Below are 17,134 nucleotides of genomic sequence, written 5' to 3' on the forward strand. Positions count from 1 at the left end.
ACATTCCAGAGATTTTGGTAAATTATGTCTCTGTTTTCATTTATTTTAAATAATTATTTGATTTCTGCTTTAATTTTGTTAACTCAAAAGTTATTAAGAAACAAGTTCTTTAGTTTCCATTTTATTGTGTGATTTTGAAGTATCTTCTTGATATTGCCTTCTATTTTTATTCTCCATGGTCCAAAAATATGCTTGGTGTTGTTTCTTCATTAAAAAAAGTTATTGAGACTTGCTTTATGGCCAAATATGTGATTGATCTTAGAGTATATGCCACGTGCAAATGAAAAGAATGTATCTTCTGTGGTTGTTGGGTGGAACATTTTGTCAATTTTTATTAGGTCCAATTGGTGAAGTGTTGAATTTAAGTCAGAATTTCCTTGTTAGTTTTCTGCCTCACTCATCTATTTTTCTAATTAGTATGATTCAGTTTTTTTTCTGACATTGCAGTTTTCTGCACCTATCACAACACTTCAAGAAGACTATTACAAGAATACTACAAATTTTACACAAAATATCATCAAAGTAGTGACACGTTGGAGAAAAATCATGATAAATATTCAACAAAACTAGAACATACATTTGTATATTCTTTCATTAATTGTATTAGTTTTTTCCTCTTTTTGTGCCCGTACTTATTAGAATCTTTTTCATAAAAAAGAAGTTTTCTTTCTTTATTTTTTTGAGACAGGATCTTGTTCTGCAACCCAGGCTGGTGTGCAGTAGTGTGATTATGGCTCATTGCAGCCTTGAATTCCTAGGCTGAAGCAAATCCTCCCACCTCAGCCTCCCAAGTATCTGGAACCACAAGTTTGTGCCACTAGACCCAACTAATTTTATTTTATTTTTGTAGAGTCAGGGTCTTGGTATATTGCCCAGGCTGGTCTTAAACTCCTGGGTTCAAGTGATCATCCCACCTTGGCCCCCCAAAGTGCTGGGATTATAGGTGTTAGCCACCACACACCGCAGCAATTTTTGACTAGAGCTGATTGCAAATGTTTGTAGAGAAGAATTGAGAATGGTAACACTGGATGACCAAAATTTGGTGTAGCTATGGTTAAGATTTGATGAAAGTTCCCAATAGACAAGGAAATTTTGTTATTTCTATTATTTGCAGCATTTTAAGATAACAACCAGAATCATTATGACAGTGTCATGTTAGAGACATCAGGCTTTCATAAATTTTATATCATCTTTAGAATATTCACATTAATAACATACCCCTACAAATATAACTTAAGATTTAATATAGTAATCAAAGTTATGACTGATAACAAATTAGCTTTTTGTAAATTTATATAAGTTTTGGAACATTTATGTCAATAATGTACCCATAATTGTAACAGAAAGATCTAGTATCAATTATCATTTGATAATACTTTACAAAGAATCTGCCAAATAAGTCTAATTATTTAATACAAAAAGACTTAATTTAGGATTTTCATCCTGGGGGAACATGACAAAGATGTCAAAAGTTTCAAAAAACTAGATCAAAATAAAACCATAGGTCACTGGAAAATAAAAGTTATTCACACAAGTAGAGTGGTAATCAAAATACTTCAAAAGAAATACAGAAATTTTTATGAATGTAAAATCCTTACCCCTTTTAAATTTCAGTTTTCCTAAGTAATATGAAACCTAATAAGAATAGTGCAGAAATTGTTTTAATAAAACATAAAATCTCTTCTTTTTAGACCAGCTACTGTAAAGGTAAACAAACAAATAAACAAAAATCCCCACAAAACCTCCTATAGTGTTGATTTAGTTTGGATGTGTGTCCCCTCCAAATCTCATGTTGAAATGTTACCTCTAGTGTTGGAGATGGCCTAGTAGGAGGTGTTTGGGCCATAGAGGCAGATACTTTATGAATGACTCATTGCCATCCCCATGGCAATGTGTGAGTTCTTGCTCTGGTAGTTCATGCGAGAGCTGGTTGTTTAAAGGAGCTTGACACCTCCTCCTCTCTCTTGCTCCCTCTCTTGCCATGTGACATGCCTGCTCCTCATTCACCTTCCACCATAAATGTAATTGTAATCTTCCTGAGGCCCTCACCAGAATCAGACGCTGGCACTGTTCTTCTTGTACAGTCTGCAGAACTGTGAGCCAAAATAAATGTCTTTATCATTTACCCAGTCTCAGGTATTTCTTTATAGCACTGCAAAATGGACTAACACAAATATGACTAATTCTCCTTATGGGAAGCCCATTTAGATATCCCGGAAGTCAAGCCTGATAAAAAGGGTAGTTGAGCTTAATCAGATGTAAGAACAGCGTGTTCAGGGTTATATGTGTACACGATAGTATAAAGGAATGTAAACAAGAAAACTCATACCTTGAGCACAGAAATACATGGCTCTCAGCAACAGCATGAGAATTCCCCTCTACTGAAGAAAAGCCAAGACTACAGAATCAAATTATTCTAGAGGAAAACACTGCATTCTAGACCTTCAAGATAAACATTTTAGTGTCCAGCCACAACATCAGAGGTAGAGTAGAAGAAAATAATTATGGGAGTTAATAAAAATATTGAAGAAGAGACTTATCCCAGGTAAGCAAACAGATTTACCTTTTAAGGGAATAAAGAACAGAAGGCAATGATATATAAACTGCAAATCACATTTAGTGAGAGAGAGCAGAATTTGAACTTCTGAGACATAAATTTGAGAAATTTCAAAAAGAAACAAAACCTCTTGTAATTTTATTAAGAACAAATAAATACTTTCAGAAAATCTTATTCTAACACAGGGGACCAATTTTTAGTTTTGTATTAGTGTATTTTTAATATCAAAGCTCCATATTTAGAGAGATAAATATTTGTGTTACAGCAAACTTAATCACACACAAACTTCCTTTAATAAACTCTCTTTTTCATTTTAGACCAATATCCTTGATGAATATTGATGCAAAAATCCTCAATAAAATACTGGCAAACCAAATCCAGCAGTACATCAAAAAGCTTATCCACCATGATCAAGTGGGCTTCATCCCTGGGATGCAAGGCTGGTTCAATATATGCAAATCAATAAATGTAATCCAGCATATAAACAGAACCAAAGACAAAAACCACATGATTATCTCAATAGATGCAGAAAAGGCCTTTGACAAAATTCAACAACGCTTCATGCTAAAAACTCTCAAGAAATTAGGTACTGATGGGACGTATCTCAAAATAATAAGAGCTATCTATGACAAACCCACAGCCAATATCATACTGAATGGGCAAAAACTGGAAGCATTCCCTTTGAAAACTGGCACAAGACAGGGATGCCCTCTCTCACCACTCCTATTCAACATAGTGTTGGAAGTTCTGGCCAGGGCAATTAGGCAGGAGAAGGAAATAAAGGGTATTCAATTAGGAAAAGAGGAAGTCAAGTTGTCCCTGTTTGCAGATGACATGATTATATATCTAGAAAACCCCATTGTCTCAGCCCAAAATCTCCTTAAGCTGATAAGCAACTTCAGCAAAGTCTCAGGATACAAAATCAATGTACAAAAATGACAAGCATTCTTATACACCAATAACAGACAAACAGAGAGCCAAATCATCAGTGAACTCCCATTCACAATTGCTTCAAAGAGAATAAAATACCTAGGAATCCAACTTACAAGGGACGTGAAGGACCTCTTCAAGGAGAACTACAAACCACTGCTCAGTGAAATAAAAGAGGATACAAAGAAATGGAAGAACATTCCATGTTCATGGGTAGGAAGAACCAATATTGTGAAAATGGCCATACTGCCCAAGGTAATTTATAGATTCAATGCCACCCCCATCAAGCTACCAATGACTTTCTTCACAGAATTGGAAAAAACTGCTTTAAAGTTCATATGGAACCAAAAAAGAGCCCGCATCACCAAGTCAATCCTAAGCCAAAAGAACAAAGCTGGAGGCATCACGCTACCTGACTTCAAACTATACTACAAGGCTACAGTAACCAAAACAGCATGGTACTGGTACCAAAACAGAGACATAGATCAATGGAACAGAACAGAGCCCTCAGAAATAACGCCGCATATCTACAACTATCTGATCTTTGACAAACCTGAGAAAAACAAGCAATGGGGAAAGGATTCCCTATTTAATAAATGGTGCTGGGAAAACTGGCTAGCCATATGTAGAAAGCTGAAACTGGATCCCTTCCTTACACATTATACAAAAATTAATTCAAGATGGATTAAAGACTTAAACGTTAGACCTAAAACCATAAAAACCCTAGAAGAAAACCTAGGCATTACCATTCAGGACATAGGCATGGGCAAGGACTTCATGTCTAAAACACCAAAAGCAATGGCAACAAAAGCCAAAATTGACAAATGGGATCTAATTAAACTAAAGAGCTTTTGCACAGCAAAAGAAACTACCATGAGAGTGAACAGGCAACCTACAAAATGGGAGAAAATTTTTGCAACCTACTCATCTGACAAAGGGCTAATATCCAGAATCTACAAAGAACTCAAACAAATTTACAAGAAAAAACAAACAACCCCATCAAAAAGTGGGCAAAGGACATGAACAGACACTTCTCAAAAGAAGACATTTATGCAGCCAAAAGACACATGAAAAAATGCTCATCATCGCTGGCCATCAGAGAAATGCAAATGAAAACCACAATGAGATACCATCTCACACCAGTTAGAATGGCAATCATTAAAAAGTCAGGAAACAACAGGTGCTGGAGAGGATGTGGAGAAATAGGAACACTTTTACACTGTTGGTGGGACTGTAAACTAGTTCAACCATTGTGGAAGTCAGTGTGGTGATTCCTCAGGGATCTAGAACTAGAAATACCATTTGACCCAGTCATCCCATTACTGGGTATATACCCAAAGGACTATAAATATGCTGCTATAAAGACACATGCACACGTATGTTTATTGCGGCACTATTCACAATAGCAAAGACTTGGAACCAACCCAAATGTCCAACAATGATAGACTGGATTAAGAAAATGTGGCACATATACACCACGGAATACTATGCAGCCATAAAAAAATGATGAGTTCATGTCCTTTGTAGGGACATAGATGAAACTGCAAATCATCATTCTCAGTAAACTATCGCAAGGACAAAAAACCAAACACCGCATATTCTCACTCATAGGTGGGAATTGAACAATGAGAACACATGGACACAGGAAGGGGAACATCAAACTCTGGGGACTGTTGTGGGGTGGGGGGAGGGGGGAGGGATAGCATTAGGAGATATACCTAATGCTAAATGAGGAGTTAATGGGTGCAGCACACCAGCATGGCACATGTATACATATGTAACTAACCTGCACATTGTGCACATGTACCCTAAAACTTAAAGTATAATAATAATAAAAAAAAGAATAAAGCTGAAAAAACACACCTTTCAGACAAACAAAACATTACTAGATAAAGATTTAAAAACCTAATAGCATTTACAACATAAAACGTCCAATAATAAATCTAACGAGATACACACCATCTCTACCCCCCCAAAAAACCCACAAAAATCTGTTTAGAAAAATAAAAGAAGACATAAATAAATGGGAGGATAAGCCATGTTCAAGAACTAGAAGACTCAACATAGTAATAATGTCATTTCTCTGCCAATGGATCAATTGTTTCTATGAAATCCCAATAGAAATCCTAGCAGGTTCCTTTGTAGATGCTAATAATCTGATTATATGGAAATGCAAGGACCACAAATAGCCATTGTTGTTGAAAAGAACAAAGTTGCAAGACAGACTACTCATTTAAGACTTATGTAGCTACAGTGATTAGGACAGGGTGATATCTATACAAGAATAGAGTACAACACCTGTGGAACAGACATGAGATTCCCAAACAGACCTGCATGTTTATGAAATGTTTGATTAATGACAAACCTGGGTAATAATTCATGTTAGGTTCCATGCCAATTGGATATCTATTTGGGAAAAATTTATTTTGAACCTTAACTCATAACCTGTATATATAACAAATCAACAAAATTTGCAGGAAATAAAAAAGGAGAGTATATCAACTGGAGCGGGACTTACCGTAGACGCAAAGAAGCATAATTGGGACACAGCCTGAGGAGAACATTGTTTGTTCCGGTGCTGAGCCCAGAGGCGATTAGGGTCCCCGTTTTGGGCTGAATTGTGTTTCCTTAGATTCACACACAGAAGCCCTATCCCCCAGTACCTCAGAATGTGACAGTCTCTGGAGGTGGGGCCTCTTGAGAGATAACTGGGTCAAAATGAAGATGTGGGAGGGGGCTCTACTCCAATGTGACTGTTGCCCTTATTAGAAGAGGACATTTGGACACACACAGAGACACCAGATGGAGGCACAGAGAAAAGAACATGTGGGAACACAGGGAGAAGGTGACCAGCTGCAAGCCAAGGAGAGAGGCCTTGGGAGAAACCAACCCTGCTGACACCTCGATCTTGGACTTGTAGCCTCTAGAACTCTGAGGAGGTAAGTTTCTGTTGTTCAAGCCCCGCCATCTGTGGGATTAAGCTATGGCAGACAGAGCAGACAAACACAGACTGGAGAGTTCCATGTCACAGAGAATGGCTGCAATAATATTAGCCTGGAAAAGGTTTTAGTGTTATCTAAGGGTCATTTCACTACCAATATTACGATCACATGTCCAACCCAGTTAAAAATATACCCCTCAATAACGGAAAAGCACACAAATGCCTGTACGTGATTGTTACGAACCCACCAGTGAAATGTAATTTGGACACAACCACCTCTGGGACCCACTTTACTCAGCCCCTGGTCTCCAGGTATATGGGTGGGGGGTCACAAGATTCAGGGGTTGGTCACCTCAGAGGCAGAATACCTCAGCTGGAAGATAAGAAACGATGGCAGATCCCTGGGCACCTCAAATCACACCATCTGAAGGTGTCATGGTGTGGCGGTTGACAGCAGGAACCTGGGAGTCAGCCAGACTGGGTTCAAATCCTGGTTCTGCCATCACTAACCGTCTGATGTGGGCAAGTTATTTAAAGTCTCTGTGCCTCAGTTTACATACTCATAACACAGGGATAATAATAACTGTGTCTGGTTCATAGAGTTGTCATGAGGATCACATAAGCTGACATTAGATAGCATTAGAACATGCCTGGCATGTGGTAAGCACTCCCATTGCTTTAAGAGAGGAAGCTTGCCAACACCATCAGCAGAGATCTGGGGTCAGCCCTCAGTTGGAGCCCCCACTGAGGCTAACTATGTATGACGCATGTAACTTTTGGATTATCTATCGCAAGATTATCTGGTTACTTCCGTTTGTACAGTGGACTGCCTGCAAATGGGTGCCACAACAAAGACCATGAGAAGACCACACCTCAAAATGGGGAGAAGTGGAGACATCAGCAGCACTGTTGGCTCAAAGCCGGGAGCTGCACTTGCAGCTCTGCCCTTGACCCTATGACCAGGGACTGACTTGGGTGAGCAGAACGAGGGTGTTCCCCGGAGGGCGATGCAGCATTGCAGCCTGTTAGACGGCCTCAGAGCGGTGCTGGCCCCATCCATCGAGCCACCTTGAGCAAGTGGCTGAGGCTGGTCTGAGCTGGTTCCCTCACACCCACTCCTTTGCCTGCTGGAGTCCTTGCATACACACTTGCTCCATCCACACACCCAACCCAGTGCGTGGGAGTCACCGAGAGACTCCTGCCCTCACCTGCAGCTTTCCTAGAACAGCTCCACTCAGCCATAGGTGGCTGTTTCCTGAAACCTTACATCTTGGGCCCTCAAAGCTGCAGGCCCCAGACAGGGCATTTGGAGCAGGCAGACCTGACACTCGCCTGGTGGAGAGAAAGCGGCGCTCTGGCAGGTGAGGCAGCCCACCTGTCCAGGCAGGGCACTGAAGGTGTCCGCAGGGCAGAGCCGGCAGTCTTCAGCTGCCCTGGCCCTGCTGCTGCTTCTGAAGGTCCCTGCTGGGCAGGGCCTTGGGCTGCGAGTCCCTGCAGGGCAGTAGTGGCCCACCGGGCAGGAATGGCCCTGGTAGCTCTCTGACCCTGGAGGAACACAGAGGGGAAATTCTGCCCCAGCCGAGGCAGGGACTGAGAGTGGACTGGGGGTGTCCAGGGTAGGGATATGCCTGCTGAGGGAGGGGGGAAACAATGCAGTAAATGGGGGAAGAATCTAGATTGTGGGGGCAGTAGAGGGCTCTGTGCCCTGTAACCCCTCACCCTCCCCGCCAGCCCCTTGGTCTCCCTCTCAGTCAGGTGCGGGGCGCTGGGCAGTGGCTTTCCTTCTCTCCAGAGTGCCTGGGCCACTGGCTCCGACACATCTGTGTGCATGCTGCTCTGCCCTGTGTCTAGAGGACTTTTAAACCTGACACGGAGGCAGCTGACACTCACCTGCTCTGTGTCTCCATCCTCCACATGTTCTTGGGTCTGTGTCTTGGGCTGCTCCAGGCCTCTTGGGCTGTCCCCAGGCTCTGAGGGGCCCTCCCTGCCTGCGCCTCCACCCGCCTCACTGATCTCCACTCTGGGTCACCTCCAGTCCCGGTCCCCCTGCTCCTGCCCAGGCCTCCCAGGGACTCACCCTGGGGGCAGCTGAATCCAGGCGGGCAGGGCTGTAAGGGTAGAGCATCCAGGGCCCGGCTGCGGTAGGTGCCCGCTTCACAGAGGCGGCAGGCAGCATATCTCCTCAGAGACCCTGAGGCTGGTCCCATTCAGGGCTTCGGAGCCCCCAGGGCAGGCACGAGGTTGGGCACTGCCCGGGGGGCAGTAATGGGGAAAGACACAGCTGCAGAGACAGAGCCCGGCTGGTTCATGCTGCCGGAACCTGTGTGTGCGGTGGGTTCTCTCGCTAGCGGGGGCCGACTTTCCCTGGCCTGGGGCCTCAGCTGCTAGCGGACGGGGACTCTGCTACTGTCCCAGTCAGGGGTCCTGGGGTTGCCTTGTGTCTGGTGGGGCCACGGCACCAAGCTGCCTTTCTGGTGGTGGATGAGCCATGCCCAGTTAACCAGGCCGGCACTGCCTGCCCATTCCACCCTGGGCAGAGGGGTGTTGTGGAGTGGATCTGATGTCAGGGTGTTAGTCCCAGACACGGGATGGGGCTTACCAGATGAAATACTCCATGCCCAGTCCTATTCAAATTTCAAATAAACAATGAGAATGATTTTAGTAGAAGTGCACCCCCAATATTGCATGGGCCATACTTACAGTAAAAATGCATTGTCCTTTACCGGCAATTCAAATGTAACTAGGCGTGCTGTATTTTTGTGAGCTCCATCTGGCTGCCCCACCAGGATGAGCCTGCACTCTGATGGGGCATCCCAGGGCAATGTGCTTCCTCACCCCACCTTCCCTGGGGCAGAGGCAGGGGCTGGCCCTAGCTGGGAAGCCCAGGCAGAGGGTCACCAGGGCTTGCTTTTGGGCCCTGCCCTTTGGCTGGATTTCTGAGGCACACATGCTTGTCATGGTGGGGCCTCACATAGGGTGCTGACAGCAGTTCCAGGGCTGGGGTTGGGGCTCAGACCCTTGGGGGGGTAGGGGGAAGGAACTCACCGCTGCCCCAGGCCACTGTAGGTGGAGGAGCTGACAGGGCAGGCATAGCCCCCCGGGGCAGAGTGGGGGCAGCCCCGTCTGAGGCCCACAGTAGGAGCCGGGCCTACAAGGGACCTCAGCCACAGCACCTGAAGAGACAGGGCCAGGGATGCGGGAGAACAGGCCACAATGTGGGCATGGTTTGGAGGACACCCCAAGTCCCTTCTTCACCCATCAATGGCACTTGGAAGCCAGGAGAGGTCCAGAGCCGGAGGAGAACTCAGGAGGGTCCCCAGGCTCCCCAGGTGAGGCCTGGGCAGGGAGGACAGCAGTAGGGTGAGGCCTCTGAGGTGGTGGGGAACAGTGTGGAAACCAGGAAGGAGTGCGGAGCTTGCAGGTGAAGGGAGATCTCGTGTGGTCAGGGAGGGTGACTCGTGCGGGTGGTGGTGTCATGAACCGAGATCAATGGCAGGAAGTTCCCGTGTCTTTGTGCAGCCAGCCGCCGCGGTGGGGAAGGAGGATGCATTTCATGAGGTGGAGGTGGGAGCTCTGATGAGGACGCACAGGGCAGTGGCACTGAGGCCACAGCTCACCTGAGGGCAGCCAACAGGAGGGTGCTTTTGGTTGTGCCTTGAGGTGTGGCAGGTACTGGACACTTTGTAGGGGGCATGCTATTTCTAGTTAAACCTCTGGCCGGCCTCCTCCTTGACCCAGATGGGGAGGAAGAGGTGACTTGAAGGCACCTTGGTCTGGGGACATCCAGGTGGTGTGGATGCCACCAGAGACTGGGTGTGCCTTGTGGGGGCTGGTCAGGTGTGGCTGTGCCACATCTGTGGCCTGAGCTCAATCAGGGCTTTCTGCAGAGCTCAGGCATGAGCCTCAGGGATGAGGGAAGGGATGGGAAGGGGCTGGGGTCATCCTGCAGCCTCACCTGCTGGGCACTCAGATCCAGCTGGGCAGGGGATGGCAAACACATTTGCATGACCCTGAAGCTCAGGGTCTGGGCAGTGGTAGCCAGGAGGGCAGAGCTCACAGTCTTCCTGTGCTGATGCCCCTGGCTCTGACCTAAAGGTGCCAGGTGGGCAGAAAAAGGCACCCTGGTCACCTAGACACCAGTGGCCCGGAGGACATGGGTGGTCTTCAAAGGAAGAGAGACCTGGGGGCAAAAGCATCAGGCTAAGAAGGGTTGCCTGAGGGGCTCCTGACAGCCTCTTCCCTCTCCTCCCCAAGGCCCCCACATCCAGCCTGCAGACAGGCTCTTACCTGGCCATGGGCAGTGGTACCCAGCAGGGCAGGGGAGGCACTCCGCCTGACTATGGCCTCCATCTGTTGCCAGGTAGGTATGCTCAGGGCAGGCCTGGGGAGCTCCCGAGTGGGTCTCACTTCCTCCAGGGCAGTAGTGGCCAGAGGGGCAGGCCTGGGTGGCCGGGGTGCCTGCAGAGCAAGGGCTGCCCTCACTTTTCTCCCCAGATGTGGGGCTGGAAGGTTCCAATCTCACAGGTCCTTGGCTGGGGTGATCCCTCAGCCAAGGTGATCCCTCAGCCATCCCCACCAAACAACTCAAGCCACAGCAAATGCCCAAAATGTACTTTAACCACAACCACAACCCTCTGCAAGCCTTCTTGCCTCAGGCCTGACTCTAGCGGGGCACCTCTCCTCTGGCTTCCTCCCACCTGCTCAGGGGCACAGGTGCAAGCCGGAGGAATCAGATCTGTCTGCAGTCCTGGGACAGGAGGGCGAGTTGGGCTGAGAGCGGAGCCCAAGGATACAGTCACGGCAGAAGGATCCCAGGGGGCAGGGAGCCCCTGTCACCCTGTCCTTTGGAGAAGGGGATGATGCACCTTCTGCACAGAAGTAGCCAGGCTGGCAGGGCCCGCTGGGGGTGGAGAGGCCTGGAGGTGGAGGGGAACTGGGTTAAATGCTGAGTAGACTCACTATAAAAGACGTTGGCCTTTGGAGCCAACTGGGATCCCTGTGGGCATCAGTCCTCGGAGGACTCGGGGTGTGACTAGAGTACTCAGCTAGAACTGAGAGTTATACTAGTGGTCATGCCTTTGCTGGGCCTGCATTGAGCCTGTGTTGAGCCTCTGCTGAGTCTGTGCTGAGTCTTTGCTGAGCCCTGTGCTGAGCCTGTGCCGAGTCTGTGCTGAGTATATGCTGAGCCTGGTCTGAGTCCTTGTCCTGAGCTTGCATTGAGCGTGTGCTGATCCTGTGCTGGTTGTGTCCTGAGCCTGGGCTGAGCCTCTGCTGAGTCTGTGCTAAGCCCTGTGCTGGGCCTGTGCTGAGCGTAGGCTGAGTTGTGCTGAGCCCTGAGGCTGAGTTGTGCTGAGCCCTGAGGCTGAGGCTGTGCTGAGCCCTGAGGCTGAGTTGTGCTGAGCCCTGAGGCTGAGGCTGTGCTGAGCATAGGCTGAGTTGTGCTGAGCGTAGGCTGAGTTGTGCTGAGCCCTGAGGCTGAGTTGTGCTGAGCCCTGAGGCTGAGTTGTGCTGAGCGTAGGCTGAGTTGTGCTGAGCCCTGAGGCTGAGTTGTGCTGAGCGTAGGCTGAGTTGTGCTGAGCCCTGAGGCTGAGGCTGAGCTGAGTCTGTGCTAAGCCCTGTGCTGAGACCTGAGACTGAGTTTGGGCTGAGTCTGTGCTGCACCTTTGTGGAGCCTGTACTGATCCCGGGCTGAGCCTGTGCTGAGCCTGAGCTAAGTGTGCCATCTGCTCCTGCCCAACCCTGTGACATGGGTACTACTCTCATTCACAAAGAGCCTCAGGTCATCATCAGTAAGGTGCAGAGCTGACATTAGAGTACAAGTTTAGCCAACACAGCCTAAGGTCTTGACCTCAGGGGCTGTAGAGCTGAGAGCCTCCCAAGGCAGAAGGAGCCTGGTGCATGCCTGGGTGCTCGGTGCCCAGCAGGGTTGTCCACAGCAGGTGCTTGGGAAGTGCAGGCAATCAGACATGGGGAGTACAGAGAGGGATCAGGGAGGTGCCACTGAGCCCCTCCCTGGGCATAGAGACCTGCTGGCCTGGCCACTCCTCCCTACCTTGCTGTTCTGTGGTGGCTGGCCTGCGTTCACCCAGAGTGACAGCAACAGTGACAGTTTATGAAGCACAGTCCTGCCAGGAAGCATGCCAGGCACAGCCCCCTGAGGTAGGCAGGCAGTGCTTCTCATTGGACAGGGAAAGATGGCGGTTACATGTTCACCCTCACATTGGTTCTCCCACCAGCCACAGCCTAGGCCACAGCACGATAGGTCCTTACCAGAGGTGCCACAGAAAGAGCCTGGTGGGCAGGGCATGGGCTCTGGGCTGCCCTCTGGACAGTAGGAGCCAGCAGGGCACTTTTCCCCTGTGGCTGTGGCTGGGCACAGGCAATTGGTGCTGGTGTAGTTGTCCAGGTTGAAGGGGCGGGCGGTCCATGCCACAGACACACAGAACCATCCTGGGGTAGAAACCAGTGGGGAGGGGTGGGTGGTGGGCCAAGGAGTCCAAGGCCAGGCTTACCAGGCTGCAGGCCCACCCATCCCTCCCAGTAGCTGCTCCAGGAGATAGTCTGGATGACCCCAGGTCCAGGGGCAGAAATGGGAAGTGCAGAGATGGACAGGGGGCTTCTTAGGGCAAGGCAGGAGACTCACCTGCCGCACAAGGCCCAGAGGCCCGGGTCAGGTTCTCCTACCCGCAGCAGTGGCCTGGGGGACAGGGCAGGCAGCTGTCCAGGCTCTGGGTCAGTGGGTCTGGGTCGTAGTAGCTCCGAGGGCAGGGGAACTGGGTGGCGTACTTCGTGCCTGAGAAGCAAAGTTCAGAGGAGGGGAGCCCAGCTTGCTGGTTCCTGAAGGCGCCCTCTGCTCCAGGGCCTGGGGCAGGGGAGGCTCAATGTGGCCAGCTGCTCCCTGTACCCCTCCTCCTGCAGGGCTGGTCCTTGGCAGACTCCCCACCTCAACCCCACAACTCACTCACTCCTGGCCTTCCAGGCCGGAGAGTTCAGCCCCTGGGCTGGGTGGCCCTAGACCCAGGCTCCACAAAGCCACAGCATGTGCACTACTCCCCTTCCTGGTGCTCAACTTCACTGAAAGGCACGGGACCCAAACTTTCTACGTTTTGCTAAAGTAATTTCACATATTTGTTTTTTAGCCAACACGGATATGCTATGGAATACAATGTAAAACCTTCGGGCATTTTAAAACACAGCTGGAGACTTGGATGGAACTCATACTTGTCACCAGCTGCTTAGAGCTCATCCTTGGAGTGCCCTCATATCCCTGGCCTTCAGGACGGGTGGTGGGAAAGCCCGGAAGCAGAGGACACACCTATGCATGTGTCTGTTGCCACAGAGTTTGCATTGCTGTGAGCCCCCAAGTCCCCAGCTGAGCCTAGAGCGGCTGTACAACTCTGCCCAGCCTCGCCCCGGGAAGTTGTGGCCTAGGCGCTCACCTCGGGGCAGTAGAAGCCAGCGGGACAGGGGTGCCTGCTGTAGTTGGTGACGTTCTCGGGGCAGTAGTAGCCAGTGGGGCAAGGGAAGCAGGAGGCCTGGCCAGTCAGGTAGCTGTAGGAGCCGGCAGGGCAGGGCTGTGGGAGGCTGGTTCCCCTGGGGCAGAAGTGGCCTCGGGGACAGGGGCCCCCCTGCCCTGAGTGGCCTGAGGGGAGGAAGGAAGCTAAGTGAGGAGTGCACACCCCAGTCCCAGCAGAGAGTGCCAGAGCTGGGGGAGGCTTGTGCCCCGGCACCAGAACCAAATGTGGACTCCAGTTTAGGTCAGAGGTTTGTTTTTGAGAGGAGCCGTGCTTGTGACTGGCATTTGTACCACACCTTACAGATCAAAAAGCATGTGTTTTACACAAATGTCACATTATTCGGGCCTCAGAAAAATCCCTGTTTGGTAGGTGGACAAGAGCAATGATTGGTTTTTACTGAGGATGAAGTCCTAAGACGTTAGCGGGCGAGCCAGGATCTCCCTGGACTCTGCCTTGGCTCAGAGCTGGTTTTCCAGACATCCCTCCCAGTGCTCTTTCTAGGACACACCATGATTGTGCACTTTTCAGTAAAACAGGCTGACAGACCAGGGCTTTCCCACTGAGTTGTACTAAGCCAGGCCAGCTGCTTCTGTTTTGGTCTTTTGTCCAGGTTCAGCAGCCTGAACGGGGGCTTGGCTCTGGCTCTCCAGTCCTCATCCATGATGCCCCAGAACTCAACCTTCCATCTGAGAGCTGAACTCGCTCCTCCAATGTTCTCTGAATAATGGAAGTGTCAGAGCAGAGGGATTCAAGGGTCCTGGCCAAGGATCAGCTGCCCTATCTGCCTTCACATGTTCCTGAGGACCCAGAGACTCCAGGCTGCCCCCTGACCACTGGAGATGGCTGCAAAGGGGGCGTCCTCTGGAAGATGGTCAGCAGCCTCTAGAGGAAGCAGACATCCTGGACGCTGACCTCCAGGGCCTAATGCTCTGCCCCCTCTCCTGACCTGCACCTCGAGGGGGATGTGTAGAGGGTCTGCTCTGGGAGTCTTGGCTGTGGCCCCCACCTACCCAAGAAAGCCAATGCCCACGATCAGCTCAGCTTCTGGGTGGCCCATGGGGCACCATTCGGTGTCCACTGACTGCAACCCCCTCCCCCCAACACCCGTCCTCTCTGTCCACCTCCCGGCAAACCTGTGGTGGATTCAGCAGGTCTGAGTGAGACAGAGGTGGGCTGGGAGGCCGCAGGTGTGACCGTAAATGGGCAGGGCAGCCAGACCACAGCACGCCTCAGCCATCTGACTCCAGCCCCTCTTACATACGTCCCCTCCATCCTCAAACCACCCACAGCCCATCGGTGCCAAACCATGAGAGCCCCCACCTCAGGGCGTTGGGTGGTACAGGGCTCACCCGCTCCCAGGGGGCTCCACACCTGTCGGGGTTGGGGAGGAGGCTCCTGCCAGACAGAAGTAGCCGGGGGAGCAGGGGCCAGAGGGCGCAGCCAGGCCAGAGGCACCACAGAAATGGCCAGGGGGACAGGACAGGCCCTCAGAGACCATGGAGAGAAACATTCTGGGGAGACAGAAAGAAACCCAGGAGATGAGCCAGGGAGGGGAGCAGGCGGGAGGAAGGGGCTGTGGGACCAGGCCTCTCTGAAAGTGTGGACCCAGGCGCACCCTGGCAGGGACCACCTTTCCGCGATTTCCTTTTCATCTCTCCTCTCTCAGGCTCCCTGTGACTCCTGCCTACACTGGCTCCAGGTAGCATTTCCGGCAGGTGCCTGAGGGAAAGTGTGGCAGGGCTCTTCTCTCTGTCTCTCTTTCCCCTCTGAGATATGCACCTGGTTATAATTCTTCTCTGTCTTAATCCCAATTCAAGCTCAGGCCGTCCAGGGCCACAGACCTCTGTGATCTGGCAGCTACAATCAGAACATCTAACAGTGCCCCACACTACCCCCCGCCCTCCCCTGAGCCATCAGCTCCACGACTGGCCCTTGCTTTGGGCTGTCTTCTCTTGGGAGCTGGGAGGGTCCTAAAGATGAGGAGATGGGTCTGGTCTCAAAAGAGATATCGGCAGACACAAATTCTTAATGGCTTTGCTTTCTTGAGTATGACGTGTTCTCAAGCCCCTCAAAGCCCGCATGGCCTGCCCTCGATCTGGCCCCTCCAACCGACACTCCCCAAGGCTTTCTGCCCTCGCAGCCCAGGTGGAAGTCCGGCTCTCCAAGCCTCACACTCTCCCATGGCTGGGGGATGTTGTTGGTCAGCTGTTAAGTGGAAAGGAGGACCGAGAGGAGGTCTGGGCTCAGCCCCTGGGACCAGGGCAGTGGCACTCATACTCACTAACCTGAGAAGGTGCCCATAGGGCAGGGCAGGGCCACCCCTGTGCCCACTGGACAGAAGTGACCTAGAGGGCAGGGCCCTCCCGCAGTCACATGGATGCCTTTATTGGGATGAGTGACCTCAGCTCTTGCCCAGAGAATCAGAAGTGGCTGAGATTGCAGAGCAGCCCTCCCTGGCCCCCAGTCAGGCTCTCGACCACCCCCAGCTCACACACCCCTGCAGTGGGACATTTCCCAGAATAAGGGAGCAGAGCTCGCGAGCTGGAGTGACAGTGCCCTCCACTGCCAGGGTGGCTCTCAAGCCCAGGGACGGCAGTGGGCCCTGAGATGCGGCCCCTTCTGAATTAATTCTTGGCTATCTGTGCCAGACCCTGCTTAGGAGCCCAAAGCTGGGGAGAAAGCATGGGGGTTCCAGGACTTGCCCATCCTGTGGAAAGGTGGGTGTGGTGCCTTCAGCCCCACTCTTGGTGTGGAGGGCACTGCAAGGCACTGAAGAGTTGGGGCTCCAGACCCCACTCAGGGAGCCTCCAGATGAGTGTTCTAGAAACCTGCTTCCACTCCAGCTAAGCTTGTTTTCATTTACATATTCATTATGTCATCACTTATGGTTTGCTCAAACCCTTTCTGAATGAGATGGACCTAATTTAATAAAAATTACACTGACAAGTACTCTAAGGAGAAGGGGCCCTTATATTTCTATGGGAAGAGAAAAGAAACAGTAATGTGTGACTGTCCCTAAAGCCAACGGCTTTGTGTGAAGACATGTCTTATATGGGAGGGTGGGGACACCCGTGGAAGACGACACCTCACCCTCCCCACACAGGTGGCCAAAGGTGCAAAAAGAAGGTGGAGGAGCTCAGGTGAAAGCACTGGTGGCCTCACAGCATGCATGAAAGTTATCTCCACAAC

General features: G+C 50.2%; 2 long non-coding RNA genes and 1 other non-coding gene across 3 annotated transcripts, besides 4 other annotated features; 1 reads left to right on the forward strand and 2 right to left on the reverse strand.

Moving 5' to 3' along the window:
* Positions 1-5,217: 5,217 nt before the first annotated feature.
* LOC112268438 (uncharacterized) lies at positions 5,218-16,895 on the forward strand. The gene is made up of 2 exons (XR_002959478.2): positions 5,218-6,426; positions 14,556-16,895. It is a non-coding gene; the product is annotated as an uncharacterized LOC112268438 (long non-coding RNA).
* Positions 9,203-9,840: an enhancer, noted in NCBI's record as "H3K27ac-H3K4me1 hESC enhancer chr2:110781467-110782104 (GRCh37/hg19 assembly coordinates)". NCBI's record gives its function as "activates a minimal SCP1, AML or CMV promoter by ChIP-STARR-seq in naive H9 embryonic stem cells {active_cell/tissue: H9 hESC(naive)}" and the evidence as "EXISTENCE:reporter gene assay evidence [ECO:0000049][PMID:30033119]".
* Positions 9,962-10,802, reverse strand: LOC124900614 (platelet endothelial aggregation receptor 1-like). Its single transcript, XR_005647120.2, has 3 exons — positions 10,716-10,802; positions 10,384-10,608; positions 9,962-10,045 (listed from the first exon to the last, which is right to left on the reverse strand). It is a non-coding gene; the product is annotated as a platelet endothelial aggregation receptor 1-like (transcript).
* Positions 10,676-11,560: an enhancer, noted in NCBI's record as "H3K27ac-H3K4me1 hESC enhancer chr2:110782940-110783824 (GRCh37/hg19 assembly coordinates)". NCBI's record gives its function as "activates a minimal SCP1, AML or CMV promoter by ChIP-STARR-seq in primed H9 embryonic stem cells {active_cell/tissue: H9 hESC(primed)}" and the evidence as "EXISTENCE:reporter gene assay evidence [ECO:0000049][PMID:30033119]".
* On the reverse strand, positions 12,794-13,954 carry LOC105373985 (uncharacterized). The gene is made up of 3 exons (XR_002959476.2): positions 13,868-13,954; positions 13,072-13,221; positions 12,794-12,878 (listed from the first exon to the last, which is right to left on the reverse strand). It is a non-coding gene; the product is annotated as an uncharacterized LOC105373985 (long non-coding RNA).
* Positions 13,610-14,431: an enhancer, noted in NCBI's record as "H3K27ac-H3K4me1 hESC enhancer chr2:110785874-110786695 (GRCh37/hg19 assembly coordinates)". NCBI's record gives its function as "activates a minimal SCP1, AML or CMV promoter by ChIP-STARR-seq in naive H9 embryonic stem cells {active_cell/tissue: H9 hESC(naive)}" and the evidence as "EXISTENCE:reporter gene assay evidence [ECO:0000049][PMID:30033119]".
* Positions 16,479-16,978: an enhancer, noted in NCBI's record as "H3K4me1 hESC enhancer chr2:110788743-110789242 (GRCh37/hg19 assembly coordinates)". NCBI's record gives its function as "activates a minimal SCP1, AML or CMV promoter by ChIP-STARR-seq in primed H9 embryonic stem cells {active_cell/tissue: H9 hESC(primed)}" and the evidence as "EXISTENCE:reporter gene assay evidence [ECO:0000049][PMID:30033119]".

Source organism: Homo sapiens, chromosome 2 (assembly GCF_000001405.40).
Source record: "Homo sapiens chromosome 2, GRCh38.p14 Primary Assembly".
NCBI classification, from domain to species: Eukaryota; Metazoa; Chordata; class Mammalia; order Primates; family Hominidae; genus Homo; species Homo sapiens.